The following is a 13,963-nucleotide window of genomic DNA, read 5'->3' as shown; positions in this document are numbered from 1 at the left end:
TAAGAAAACAAACAAACAAAATATATATAAATATATAATTTTTAAAATATATATTTACATACTTTAATATATATATTTTATATATATATATATATATATATATATATATATATTTTCCCTCCTTCTGGGCTACTGAGGCCCAGAGAAGGTAGGTAATTTGCTGAAAATGTTTTGTTCTGACACCGTCTTTTCTTTGAAATGCTGTTGTAAGCCAGGCTCCCACACAGCAGAAAGATTAGTGTGGGTGTTCATCTCTAGTGTATTTAATGGTGGTCCTGATTTTTACACCAGTGAGATGGATATCTTTGGTCTGTGGACAGAGACTCCATTTTGGGGTCCTTGGTCTAACTTCCACATGGATCCTACAAGCCCTATACTCATGCTCAGTGCCCTTTCCTCCTGCGGTCACTGACTGTAGATTCTACTCGGAACAGTGGCCCAGGCTGTCCTTGTTCCGTACTCGAAAGCATGAGGGGGAGGCTGGAACCAGGCAGTCTGAGATTGAGCCCAGCTCTGATGAGTTAGGCTGTGTCCTTGGCCTTGCTAAGCCTCAGTTTCTTCATCTAAAACGTGGATATAGAAGTGGCCTTATACAGTTGCAGGAGGATTTAGTCCTTCTAACAAGTATTTATGGAGCACCTGTCATGTGCCACCTGCTATCTGAGGGTTTGGGGAGACAATGGTGGTCAAGGCAAAGAAAATCCTTTCCCTTATGGAACTTACATTCTATGGCTTGAATGAAATGTCCTCTTAAATGCTCAAGAAATGTTAGCTGTTATTACTGTTGTTGTCATTATTACTGTTAGGTCAGTTCTTTGATCAGTCAGCACCAAACCTTTCTCCAGATGAGGCTTTCTCTTCGCTGGATATGACTTGTAGAATATTGACGTGACTTTAAGTGCAGTGCAAGACGCAAATTGACTCCATGTTAATTTGGCTCACTGGGTGATCACCAGGCAGGCTTAGCTAACTACATCCATGAAGAGGATTAAAGAGTGTCTCATTTGTGTAGACCATGCTCTTAAACTGTTCCACATACAAACAGAGATGATAATACCAGCTCACAAGAACATAGAATTTTCCATGTACAGACCACAGGTCTAAATGCTTCACAACTATTAACTCATTTAATGATCACAATGACCCTACATGGTTGATGCTACTACCATCTCCATTTTATAGATGAGGAAATTGAGTCCCAGAGAGGAAAGTAACTTCTTTAAGGTTTTACAAGTGAGTGGCAAAACTAGGCTTTAGATTCAGGCAAGGTGGTCCAGCACCCATGCTCTTAACTGTGACTGTGGCCTTCAGCTTAAGGCCTCACCCCTCTAATACCTGCTTTGAGGCAACCCCTCCCTGCCTGAGGCAAACCAAGCAGACATGGTACATACCGTCAGGAAGTTTGTGAGTGAGGGGAAGGACATCAGGACCTGCAGCAGGTTCCCACTGCATGAGAAGCCATCTCCCACATAGCCCACCTTGCAGGTGCAGTTCACATCTGGAGGGCAGAGGCACACAGGGTCCCACACAAGTAAGGCAGGGGCCAGGGCTGCACTGCTTCTGCTTGGGGAGTGACTGGCCAGGCTGAGGATTGCTCAGCAGCTGTGTGGCCCAGAACCTGAAGTGTAGCTGGGGCGGTTACCTTTCATCCGATAGCAGAAGACATCCCACATTTCACTCTTGTTGGGTCTAGGTCCATAGTCCACTATCCCAACCACACCAGAGCCACAGTTCTGGGAGGCGAAGGCTGTGGGGTAGGCAACCCGCCCGGTCTCCAGCCAGCCTGCTGAGCACAGGTGGTACTTGGCCTGCAGGGATACAGACAGGGCCATGGGTCAGCTGCAAGTTCATGTGTTGTGGCATCACTTGGTTAATGTCTGATTCCCCTATTAGGCCATAAAACCCATAAAGTCTCACTTTGCCTATTGCACCTCTGTGCCTGGCACACAGTAGGTGGTCATTAGATGTTGACTGATTGATTGAGCCACTGGGTGAACAAAAGTGTCCTCTCTTTCTTGTAGGTGCCCAGGTCTTTCATACTCATTTCTCTTCTCTCTGCTCTTGAGAAAGAATTTGCTGTCATCCATTGATACTAGGTGCAAATTTTTCTGCTAATGGGTTGGTAGAACTCTGATGATAGAACTCAAATTTTTTTTTTTTTTTTGAGGTGGAGTCTTGCTCTGTCACCCAGGCTAAAGGGCAGTGGCATGATCTTGGCTCATTGCAACCTCCATTTCCCAAGTTTAAGCAATTCTCCTGTCTCAACCTCCTGGGTAGCTAGGATTACAGGTGTGCACCACCATGTGCAGCTAATTTTTGTATTTTAGTAGAGATTGGGTTTCTCCATGATCAGGCTGGTCTTAAACTCCTGACCTCAAGTGATCCACCCGCCTCTGGCTCCCAAAGTGCTGGGATTACAGGCGTGAGTCACCACGCCTGGCCTAGAACTCTAATTCTTCATCATAATATCATCATTGCTCTCATCGTTATTATAATTATTGTCATCCTCCCCATCATCACCACCACCATTATCATAATCACCACAACCACCATCATCATCATAAGACTTATTGGGAGCTTATCTGGGGTCAGGTTCTCTTGCAAGAGTTTTTCATGTGTCAACACCTTTAACTCTCAATCAACCCTATGAGGTGGGAACGTTTTAAATCCTTATACAATTGAGAAAATTGAGGCAAAGAGAAGTAACTTGCTCAAAGTCACACAGCTGGCAACTGGCATTCAAACCCAGGTGGTCTACTATTCCAGATCTTTTAATAATCTTAAAAATTGAGTTCCTACTGTGTGCCATATTACATTTAGTCCTTCCACAAACATTCCAGGTAAGTCAGAGATTTTAGTGGCTTGATATCAAGGCCACATGACCAGCAAGCAGGAGAGCAGAGATTCAGATTCTCCTTGAGTCTGGGTCCTGGCATCAAAGGCTTTATTCCTTGGTAAAGGAATACCAGGTCTGAAAAAGTAGAGATTTGTTAGTGATGGAGGTTGGAGAAGGGGCTTTAAAATCATACGTACTAGGCATTCATCTCCTCTGCTCCCAGTGATAAACCACCAGCCTGGAACTCCAACCTGCTAGCTTTTCCAAATGGGTAGGACTTCTAGTTTTAGAGGTTAAGAGAGCAGCACCTGATCAAAGAGCTCCGTTTCCTTCCTGCCATATCTGAAAGCTTGTGCAGTCTCTTTTTTCTTTTCACAGTCCCTCCAGCCAGAGAGAGCCCCAGCTATTCCAGGGAAACTCCACTGTTTTGTGGGTTCGGGGAGATCCACCCTAGGCTCGTGGGTATTGCTGTCTTTCTGGTTTCCAGCTGTGAGGGATGCACTTCCAGTCTCCACTTCTGCCTTGGCAGTTGAATGTCATGGTTGAAATAGACTTTTAAGAGTCAGGTCTACCCTTAAATATTGGATCTGCCACCTCTTGGCTGGGTGACATCAGGCACTGTACTTAAACTTTCTAAGCCTCAGTTTCCCTATCTGTAAAATGGGAATAGTAAGTAACACCTGCTCTGCCTTCAGAGATGTTGTAAGGATGAACAATAATATCCACGAAGTACCCTGCACAGTCCCTGACACATAATAGATGCCCAATAAATGGACATGGTGACTGTTAGCATTGTTCCAGGAGCTACCTGCACTCCCTTGCTTGAAGGCAACAGCTCAAGTCTTCCCCATCTTAAGAAAGGGCTGCACTTCCGCCCCTGCAGACTCTGTCTGCACAGAATCTGCTAACTGAAGACCCACCTTCTGGGCATAGGAGAGCTGGTTGTAGGTTGCCATGGTCGCAGCTTCGTTGGCACAGGCCTCTCTGGCTTTGTCAAAGGTCAGCTTATACTGGCCCAGTGGGGAGCGTAGATGGAACACCCCAACAGTGGTATCTGGATGAGGAAGAGGAGGAATCGCCCAGGTCAGCCCACCAGGTTGGCAGTGTTTCCAACAATGGACTCTGAAGGACTTTCAAAATGAAGGCCAGCTATACCCCAGGGTGTCTCCAGAAGCCACTTTCCCTTCAAGTTATGTTGAAGTACATCATTTAAAATATTTCTTTTCTAACTATAAAACTAGCATATGTTCATTGTAGAAATTAGGGCAATACAGAAAAGTAAAAACATAAGCAAAAACCACCTACAATTCTATTCTCCAGAAATAATCATTACTCCATGGCTAACATTTTGGTGCATTTCCTTCTAGAATTTTACTTTATTTTTTGGTAAATTTTTAATTTGATATAATTTGACATTCTTTCAATCTTCTTTCCTATTTATTCATGTTATATATACTCTAAATGTGGTAGCATACTGCCGATGTAGTTTTCATAAATCTTTTTAAAACAACATTAAATCATAATTATATCCCAAAATTATAAAATTTCTCTGGTAACATGATTTTCTCCTCCTCCCCATATTTATAATTGAAAAATTTGTTGTGACCTTTACAGCTATAAAAAACACATTAAAGTGAGTTTCTGCCCAGGGCTGTGTGTTTTCTGACCCCTGCTGTGCTTTTTAAAAAAGTTTTAAAAATTCATTTCCCCCTAAGATACTGGAAGATTTTTATCATTGGTTCATAGCTGATACCTTTCCTAACCAAACAATTCAGTGCAGACACCAGCAATAGTTCAAGAAGCAAGTCACATTTTTATATTGTCAAGTTCATTGTATAATGCCACAAAAATGATACTTTCTACACCAAAGAAGACTAAGTTTTTCTCGTTTGAACATATTTCAGTAGCACAGTGCGTAAGTCAAATGATCTTGGCCATATCTGAAATGCAAACACCAATTTAACAGCTTGGAGAAGTATGGAAAAGTGTTCCTTGTCTCTTTATTGAGACAACAAAATACCTTACAATGAATTTGAGTAGATGTATATCAATATATTTTATCATCATTTACTATTAGATATATATGTTATTTCTAATTTTCTGTGATGTTAAATAATGGTGGGATGGGTATGCTTATCTTTTTTCAATTCTCAGATTATTTCTGTAGGATGGGGTCCTGGAAACGGAACCATCAGGTCTCAGTATGAGTTATTTTAAGGCTGTCTGCTGCACACATTACCAAATCGGCTGCAAATCATGAAGGCAGTTTGCCCTCCTATGAACTGTGTGAGGGCAGGCGCTTCCTCCTGAATGTGGGATGGTTCTGTAACTGTGCCTATAGGGAAAGCTGGGGCATTCTCCCAAGCTAATGGTAACCACACAGCTCCAACAGAAGGGAGGTCCAACGTGATGCACAGTCACTTAGTATCACTGCCAACATTTTCTTGGCATTCATAAGAAAACAGAAGAGAAAAGCCCATGGGAGAAGCTGGACCACACTCTATGGTCTGGGTAGATTTCCACTTGGAAGTGGGCTTTGGGAACAGGTGGGACAGGCTGAATGAACTGTGTCCTAAAGAAAAAGCCAAGCTCTTCTTGACTTCACAGTCCCAGGGGCAAATAACTTCCAAATCAGCTGGTCCCAGCTGTGCATTTTTATCCCCATGCTAAGTAGCAACTGCCCATAAAATCTTTCTGCTTGGAAGTGCCCCTGTACCTAGACCATAGAATATCCCCAACCAAGCTTTCAAACCTCTCGTCACCTTCCCTCCCCAGCTGCTTTAACCCAGCACCACCACTGCATTTGGTCTCAGGATGGAAACTTTATGTCATGGCTGAGCCTTTCCTTTTCTCTATTCTGTGTCCATTGTTAGTTCTTTCAACCTCATCTCACTCCTCAGTACAGACCCTGCCACTAGGGGGTCACAGCCTTCATGTGTCTTCCTCATGGCTTCATCCTTCTCAGCTGACCCTTGATCATTCTCTCCTGGCCATGCTGTCCTGGCCAGCAGAAATGGCTTGCTAGCTCCTCTAGCCCAATTCAAGCCTCCAGGAAGTCTCCACCAGAGACCACATCTGTCAAACAAACCCAACCCTGGAGAGATCCAGTACATACTGATTAGCCATAAAGTGCAGTGCCCTGAGTCACTTTCTGAACCACTGAAGTCCCTCTGCCTTGGCTAGGAACTATGTTTGTGGGTCCTTTCTGGCTTCCTCCGTTGGGTTTCAAGATGTCCTATTGCCCATGCCTCTGCACTTCTATGTGGCTTTTCGCTTTCCTCAGCCTCCCAAGTAGCTGGGATTACAGGCGCGCACTGCCACAACCGGCTGATTTTTTGTATTTTTAGTAGAGATGGGGTTTTGCCATGTTGGCCGGGCTGGTCTCCAACTCCTGACCTCAAGTGATCCATCTGCCTTGGCCTCCCAAAGTATTGGGATTACAGGCTTGAGCCACCAGGCTTGGCCTGTTTTGTTTTTCTTCTTTCCCTTGAGGGTCCCTTCCCCAGGCCTGAAGAGGAGGGTGCTTTGGGCCATAGGCCCTGGTCACACTAACCCTGGAAGTGGAGGTCGACACATTTGGCGTCTGCATGGCACTGCCCATTGTCCTGTAAGCAGCGGTCAATGGGCAGCTGCTCCGGCTCACAGTTCAGCCCATCTCCGACATAGTGACTTTTACACTCACACTTGTGCTTGCCCTGTGGAGGGAGAGTGGGAAGAGATGAAAAAGTTCCTTCTCTAGGACCCCAGGATGCCCAAGTGCCCATGGGACCAATGTCCAGCCTAGGAGGTGTTCAGATGGACCAAGAGAACGTGCCTTTCCTGTCCAGTGGGAATAACTGCTACGTCCTGCTTTTATGCAGGCTTATGATGAAACCTCATCCTTTACATCTCAGTTCAAATGTGACTTCCTCAGAGACAGCCTCCCTGACCACCCTACATAAGTAGCTTTTCCATTCCCTTCTATCACATTGGCCTGATTTATGTTCTTCACAGGGCTCCTTGTGCTCTCTGAAAAAATTCCATGCATTTGTTTCTGTACAGTGCATTGCCCCCTCTCTCTACTTGTGCACAAGCACCAGGAAAGCAGGGACTCTGTCTTTTTGTTGTAACCCTGGGACCTGCAAGAGCACATAGTAGGTGCACAATGACCACTGGTTGAATCAATGAATGATCTCCTTTAATCCCCACAACAACTCTATGATGTCTGCATTATTATGAGGCCCACTTTACAAATGAGAAAACTGGGGCTCAGAGAGTAATTAGCCACCTCCAGGTCACACAGCTTGTCAGTCCAGGAGGTAAGATGCAAAAGCAATCTGACTCTAGAACCACCTTTATAACCAGGAACGGACATTATCTTGCATCATCTTTTCGGCACTTTTCCTGCCACATCTTACCAGCTTTTTTTTTTTTTTTTTTTTTTTTTTTTTTTGTGAGACAGAGTCTTGCTCTGTCACCCAGGCTGGAGTGCAGTGGCACGATCTCGGCTCACTGCAAGCTCCGCCTCCTGTGTTCATGCCATTCTCCTGCCTCAGCCTCCCGAGTAGCTGGGACTACAGGTGCCCGCCACCATGCCCGGCTAATTTTTTTTTTTTTTTGCATTTTTTTAGTAGACATGGGGTTTCACCGTGTTAGCCAGGATGGTCTTGATCTCCTGACCTCGTGATCCATCTGCCTCGGCCTCCCAAAGTACTGGGATTACAGGCGTGAGCCACCGTGCCCGGCCAGCTTTTTGTTTTAATAAGCCTTTTATTTAGGATAATTTTAGATAGATAGAAGGGTGGCCAAAGAGCAAACTCTCCTATACTCTCTACCCACTTTCCCCTGATGTCCAACATAACTATAGCACATTAGTCAGAGCTAAGAAATTAATGTTGGTACATTACTGTTAACTAAGCAATACACTTAAGAATTTAACCAGTTTTCCATGGACGTCCTTTTTCTGCCTAGGGGACTACCTTGCATTTAGCCCAATGACTTTTAACAAGAAACAGACTGTGCTAGAAAAAATGTTTAGGAAGAGTCCAGGAGATAAGCAGAGTATGGGAGGTGGAAAGGCAAGGAGGAGCGAAGCCCACGGCGCTGCTCCCAAATTTCCCTGGGAAAGAGCGACTCACCGGGCCTGTCATCTTACAGGTGGCGTGCTCGTGACACCCTCCGTTAAGGCCGTCTGCACAGGGGTCTATCTCTGTGCAGCTGTGCCCGTCCCCTTTGTATCCCTTCTGGCAGCTGCAGGAGACCTTCGTGCCCTTCTGGGAGCATCTGGCCACCTTTGCACAGCCCCCGTTGTCCTGTTTGCAGAAATCCACAACTGCAAGAGCAGAGGAGAGAGGGCTCAACTTACCACCTTCTGTGGAACTAGGGCTTCAGGTCAGGGTATGGGGCACCACAGCACTAGTGGTGTTGGGTGAGTAAATGGGCCCCTGCGTGTTCGTGCTTCTCTCTCCATGCCCTGTGGCCTCTGTGCTGGCCTTTGCAACATGAATATTTTTGTGACACCCTCATAGATGCAGCCTGATGACATCTGTCCGCTTCTGCCCCCTTTGTCATATACCTCCAGGCTTGACTTTGGTATCAGTTTTCAGAATAAATTTGGATTTTTAATGTTAGGACAGTGTGTGTGTGTGTGTGTGTGTGTGTGTGTGTGTGTGTGTGTGTGTGTGTGTGTATGTGTGTGTGTGTGTGTGTGGTGTAGAGTTAGTACAATATTGAGCACCCTGTGAGATAGACATTGTTGTCCCCATTCTGTAGATGAACAAACTGAGACTCAGCTTAACTGACCTGACAAAGCTAAAACAGCTAAAATGTGGCCTGGCTGAAGATTTAAACCCAGGTTGGTTTGCCTCCAAAAATCCATGCTTTCCTCACTGTGCTGCCTCTTAGAACCTTTGTTTTTATGATCCCCCAAATATCGACCCAACGATAGATTAGCTCCAGCCTCAGGAGTAGCTGAAAAGCCATCTGCATTTATGCAGCCACTTGAGACCCTGGAAGAATAAATACAAGGACAAGAAGACTCATTCTAAGGATGGGAGGGTGGGAAAAGAGAATCTAGGTCTTTGTTGCCATTGTTGAATGCTGACTCACTTCTGGAATGCCTTGTAGCTGAATAAAGAACAGGTATAGCAAGATCTAATTTGTGTAAAGAAAGTATATATCTCTGTGAATATTTATCCATGAAAAATATTAGAAAGTACATGTGGCTGAGACTGCTGATTTTTCCTCAATACCTAGTCTCTGTTTTCTTCTTCTTCTTCCCTTTTTTTTTTTTTTTTTTTGGAGACAGAGTCTTGTTCTGTTGCCCAGGCTAGAGTAGAGTGGCCTGATCTCAGCTCACTGCAACCTCTGCCTCCTGGGTTCAGGTGATTCTCCTGCCTCAGCCTCCCAAGTAGCTGGGATTACAGGCACCTGTCACCATGCCCGGCTAATTTTTGTAGATTTAGTAGAGATGGGGTTTCACCATGTTGGCCAGGCTGGTTTCAAACTCCTGACCTCAAGTGATCTGCCCACCCCGGCCTCCCAAAGTGCTAGAATTACAGGTGTGAGCCATTGCTCCCAGCCTAGTCTCTTTTTTTCTGTAATAATAGATTTTCAGGTGGGTTCATGGTTGCCCAATAAAAGACGACATTTCCCAGGTTCCCTTGTAGCTAGGCATGACCAATGATGAGATTCCAGCCAATGGGATGGGAGCAGATGTGATTTTTAACAATTCCTAGTTTGCATTCTTAAAGGGAAGGAGGTTTGCCTCCTTCCTCTCCTTCCATCTTGCTGTCCAGGCTGGGCTTATGGTATTGGCCACCTCAGGTGAGGTGAGTGAACGATGGCAGAGCCACAAGATAAAAGGAGTTCAGAAAAGGAGTTCAGCCCCCAAAATGAGCTTTCAGAGTGAAACTGTATTAGCCCTGAATACTTCCAACCTGTTATATGAGACAATAGGAAACATCTGCCTTATTTATGCCACTGTTCATTTGGGCCTCTGTATGGCTGAACCTATATCCTAACTACTATAGAGGGATATTGCAGTGTTCACAGTGGTTCTCACCTAGTGGTGAGAGTATGTTTAGGTTTAACTTAAAAAAATGGTGTTGTGTATTTTCTGATTTTTTTTTGAAGGCTGGATTACTTGTAGAGTTAGAAAAACACTCTAAAGTTAGCCAGGTGCGGTGGCGCATGCCTGTAATCCCAGCTACTTGGGAGGCTGAGGCAGGAGAATTGCTTGAACCTGGGAAGCGGAGGTTGCAGTGAGCCAAGATTGCACCATTGCACTCCAGCCTGGGCAACAAGCGTGAAAGTCCATCTCGGAAAAAAAAAAAAAAAAAAAAAAGAAAGAAAAACATTCTAAAGTAAAGTGCATCCCAGTTTGCAAAACAATTTTGAAACCCTGACCTAGAGGGTGAGCAGATCAAGCATGAGCACACCCATTAAAGAAACTGAGTCATAGAGAGGGTAGGTGCTGCTGAAGTGGCCCAGACAGGAAGGAGGGCTAGGATGAAGCCCAGGCACTGTGAGCAAGTCCTGCTCCTCTCCCACACCATGCTGCTATTTCACCTGTGCACAAAGGTGGCTTACCTGTGCATGTGATTCCGTCACCTTCATAATCCAGGTTACACTCACACGTGTTGTTCTCCTTACAGGTGGCATGAGCAGAACAAGGAGGCGTACACACTGCAGGCAAAACTGCAAAGAAAGGGGCCACTTTCATTCTGTACCCATGGTGTGAAGAGTTAAAACCCATCTAAGGAGACTTTCCAAGACTCTCTCTGGACGACCACTGTGTTCATAAGTGCCCCTGTACAGCAGGAAGATGGGGTGATTTGCTAAGGTCTTTTCTAGCCTTGGAGATTCTGGGATTCTAGAATTACTCTTTTATAGTAAGACATGATCTCTGCAATGTCATTGAGATTTATATGAGAAAAAATGTTCTTTAGGGGCTATCAATTAAAACTTTATACCACAAAACTTATTAGCAGGAATGAACTTGGCAGATTAGCTCTCTGGCTCTAAGGACAGGGGTTCCCGATGGATATGGTTAAATTGGAGGAGAAATTCCATGGCCTTCTGAGGGCACCACTGAGCTAGGGAGAAGCCTGGAGCTTTGGTATTGGCTGGGGTTACAGTGCATGCAGGCAGCAGGAGGCCATGTAGTGCTTAGGGGAGGAGGGAGGAGGCAGAAGGAACAGGGAGGAGGAACTCAAGTTAGCCATACTGCTGCAACCCATGAAACTTCAGGTTGCTAAAGCCCACAGGTAGGGCCTCGCCATGCCCTGTGACCCCAGGGAGGATTAAATGACAGTCATTCACATGGATAATTCAACCAGCACATTTCAGATCTACCAGAACACAGGGCTTCGAGTATAAAGGAGACATCAGAAAACTGACCACCTAGTAAGGATCGAGCTATGGCAATGATTATAAATGATGAGTGTGATAATGGCAGCTGCTTGTTTTGAGCATCTGCGTACACTGGGAACTTCAAAACCATGCTCGCTGACCCTGCCAGCAATCCTTGCGTTGCAGAATGTGTAGCATGGAGTTCTTTTTAAGGATAAGCAAGTCAAGGCTCAGAGAGTGTGGTTCTCTAAGGCCATTCATCTAGTAAGTAGCAGAACCAGGGGTCAGACCCTGGTCTCGGGCCTTCAAAGTGATTTCCATGAAACCACTCAGCCTCTGTGTCAGTACCCATCTGGGCCCCAAAATCACCAAGACAAGGCACAGTCCTTGCTTGAACCTGGGATTCTGTGCTTGAGGTGGGTCCTATAATCATACAGGATGACATGCTAGTTTCATAGGTTTGAGTTAAATCTTTTCATCTAGTTTTACTGCAAGTCTCCATCCTCCTGAGGCCCGGGGCTACAGATCTGAATTATCTTTTACCACATGGACCTGCTTTGTCACTTTTTTCAGATGTCACTCAGACTCCCAACCTCACTTGTATGCTCTTGGCAGTGTCCACTGCAGCCCTGGGCTGCCAGCAGCTGACCACTCCCATGACTGACCTGCCTGAGTGTCACACGAGGGGCCTGTCCACCCCGTTTCACAGAGGCACTGCCCGGAGCCCGTGATGCCATCATCGCACTGTCCGTGGTCTGAGCAGCCACAGGCTGTAAACAAATTAGGATATGGTCAGTCATCAGGGGTTGAGACCCAATCAACCAGCTCCCTGACCCCTTGTTTGCTATGCATTTTCAGTTGTGGGAGGCACCATGCTTATGTCACAGTCATTCATTCATTCATTGAAACATCTAAAAAATAACTTATTCAGGGACTATCACAGGCCAGGCACTGCTAAGCGATAAGGTTACAGGGAAAAACATAATAGAGAAGGTCCCTGTTCTCATGGGGCTTACAGTCTCAGAGTGCCCAGCTGTTGATCATATAATTATAAGTGAGATGAATGTTATAATCACAGTAGAGAGTATCATGGGGTACGCAATGAACATTTAGGGAGATCATCTCATCTGGGGCTTCCTGATGGAGAAATCTATTTAAAAGTAAAATTTTGGCTGGGTGTGGTGGCTCATGTCTGTAATCCCGGCACTTTGGGCGGCTGAGGTGGGAGGATTGCTTGAGGCCCGGTCAAGACCAGCCTGGGCAACATGGTGCAACCCCGTATCTACAAAACAACAACAACAAACAAAAATTAGCCAGATGTCGTGGTACACGCCTTTAGTCCCAGCTACTTGGGAGGCTGGGATGGGAGGACTGCTTGAGCCCAAGATGTTGAGGCTACAGTAAGCTGTGATCACACCACTGTATACCAGTCTGGGTAACAGAGTGAGACCCTGTCTTAAAAAAAAAAAAAAAAAAAAAAAGTAAAATTGTGGCCAGGTGCAGTGGATCATGCCTGTAATCCCAGTGCTTTGGGAGGCTGAAGCAGGAGGATTGCTTGAGGCCAGGAGTTTGAGACCAGTCTGGGGAACATAGGGAGACTCAATCTCTACAAAAAATTTAAAAAATAAAAAATTATTTGGGTATGGTGGCATGTGCCTGTAGTCCTAACTACTCAGAAGGCTGAGGTGGGAGGATTGCTTGAGCCCAGGAGGTTGAGGCTGCAGTGAGCCATAATCCCGCCACTGTATTTCAGCCTGGGTGATAGAGTGAGATTTTGTCTCAAAAAAAAAAAGTAACATTAAAAAATATGTACCAATTCCACCACCTCTCACCACCTCCAGCACTACCGTACTAGTGCAAGTCACCATTAGCGCTGGCCTGGGTTGTTGCATTATTTTCTCCAAGGGGCCCTGCTTCTGTGCCTGTTCTCCTACAGATACCCTCCCCAGAGCCATCCTTTCTAATCTCTTCACAACATCCCTCTGTTCACAACCCTTTGCTGGCCTCCTGTCACACATAGAGCTAAAGACTTTTCATTGGCCAAGAAGATCTGGCCCCTGGTGACCTTCAGATTGCATTCTCTTCCTCTCTTCCTCCTCTTTGCCCACTCCGCTCAGCCACCCTGGTCTTCTTGCTGTTCTGTACACACCAAGCTGGCTTCTGTCCCAGGGCCTTTGCACTTGCTCATCTCACCTGGAGGAAAGCTGTTCCTCTGGTCTGCACTGTCCACTATCTACGCGTGGCTATTTAAATTTAATTAAACATTTGCTTCCTCAGCCACACGTTTTGGGTGCTCGATAGCCACATGTGCCTAGTGGCTACCATACTGGCCAGTGGAGTCATGGAGTCTTTCCCGCACTGCCGAAAGTTTGATTGGCCTGCTCTTCATACCTCATGCTTGGTCCCCTTGCGTCTGTTAGGTCTCTACTCAAATATTCCCTATGTGAGGTGTCTTCTAAAACAATGTCTCCTTTCATTCTTCACCCTTCTACCTGCTTCTTTGCTTTTATATCCTTTATAACTATTTTTTAGAAAAATTTGTGTCTGTAAGCCTTTTGAGAGCTGGAATTTTGTCCCTGTCAGTCCCTAAACCACAAATCCCTAGACATTAGAAATATTCAGCCGGGCACAGTGGCTCACACCTGTAATCCCAGCACTGTTGGGAGGCTGAGGCGGGTGGATCACCTGAGGTCGGGAGTTTGAGACCAGCCTGACCAACATGGAGAAACCCTGTCTCTACTAAAAATATAAAATTAGCCGGGTGTGGTGGCGGGCGCCTGTAATCCCAGCTACTCA

At 45.6% G+C, this 13,963-nt stretch overlaps 2 protein-coding genes across 14 annotated transcripts in view; one reads left to right on the top strand and one right to left on the bottom strand.

Moving 5' to 3' along the window:
* Nucleotides 1-10,795, top strand: part of NT5DC3 (5'-nucleotidase domain containing 3) — a 94,920-nt gene extending 84,125 nt beyond the window's left edge. For all 6 annotated transcript variants that reach the window (XR_001748758.2, XR_007063093.1, XR_007063092.1 and 3 more), the window contains one exon: nt 10,471-10,795. The gene's annotated coding sequence lies outside the window, so the exon portion shown is untranslated. The remainder of the gene's footprint in view (nt 1-10,470) is intronic.
* The window catches only part of STAB2 (stabilin 2), a 179,447-nt gene that overhangs the window by 9,610 nt on the left and 155,874 nt on the right, over nt 1-13,963 (bottom strand). For 4 of the 8 annotated variants that reach the window (NM_017564.10, XM_011538539.3, XM_011538541.2 and 1 more), the window contains 7 exons: nt 11,833-11,937; nt 10,406-10,513; nt 7,954-8,147; nt 6,390-6,531; nt 3,757-3,890; nt 1,643-1,808; nt 1,392-1,498 (listed from right to left, as the gene is read on the bottom strand). In NM_017564.10, the coding sequence (NP_060034.9) occupies nt 1,392-1,498; nt 1,643-1,808; nt 3,757-3,890; nt 6,390-6,531; nt 7,954-8,147; nt 10,406-10,513; nt 11,833-11,937 (956 nt within the window). Of the gene's footprint in view, nt 1-1,391; nt 1,499-1,642; nt 1,809-1,917; nt 2,061-2,822; nt 2,972-3,756; nt 3,891-6,389; nt 6,532-7,953; nt 8,148-10,405; nt 10,514-11,832; nt 11,938-13,963 lie in introns of those variants that run through there. The other 4 variants (XM_011538537.3, XR_007063104.1, XM_011538538.4 and 1 more) reach the window with 4 other exon arrangements.

The sequence above is a fragment of the Homo sapiens genome, chromosome 12 (assembly GCF_000001405.40).
Source record: "Homo sapiens chromosome 12, GRCh38.p14 Primary Assembly".
NCBI lineage: Eukaryota > Metazoa > Chordata > Mammalia > Primates > Hominidae > Homo > Homo sapiens.
Note: the sequence above shows the minus strand (reverse complement) of the source record. Positions and strands in the feature narration are given on the sequence as shown.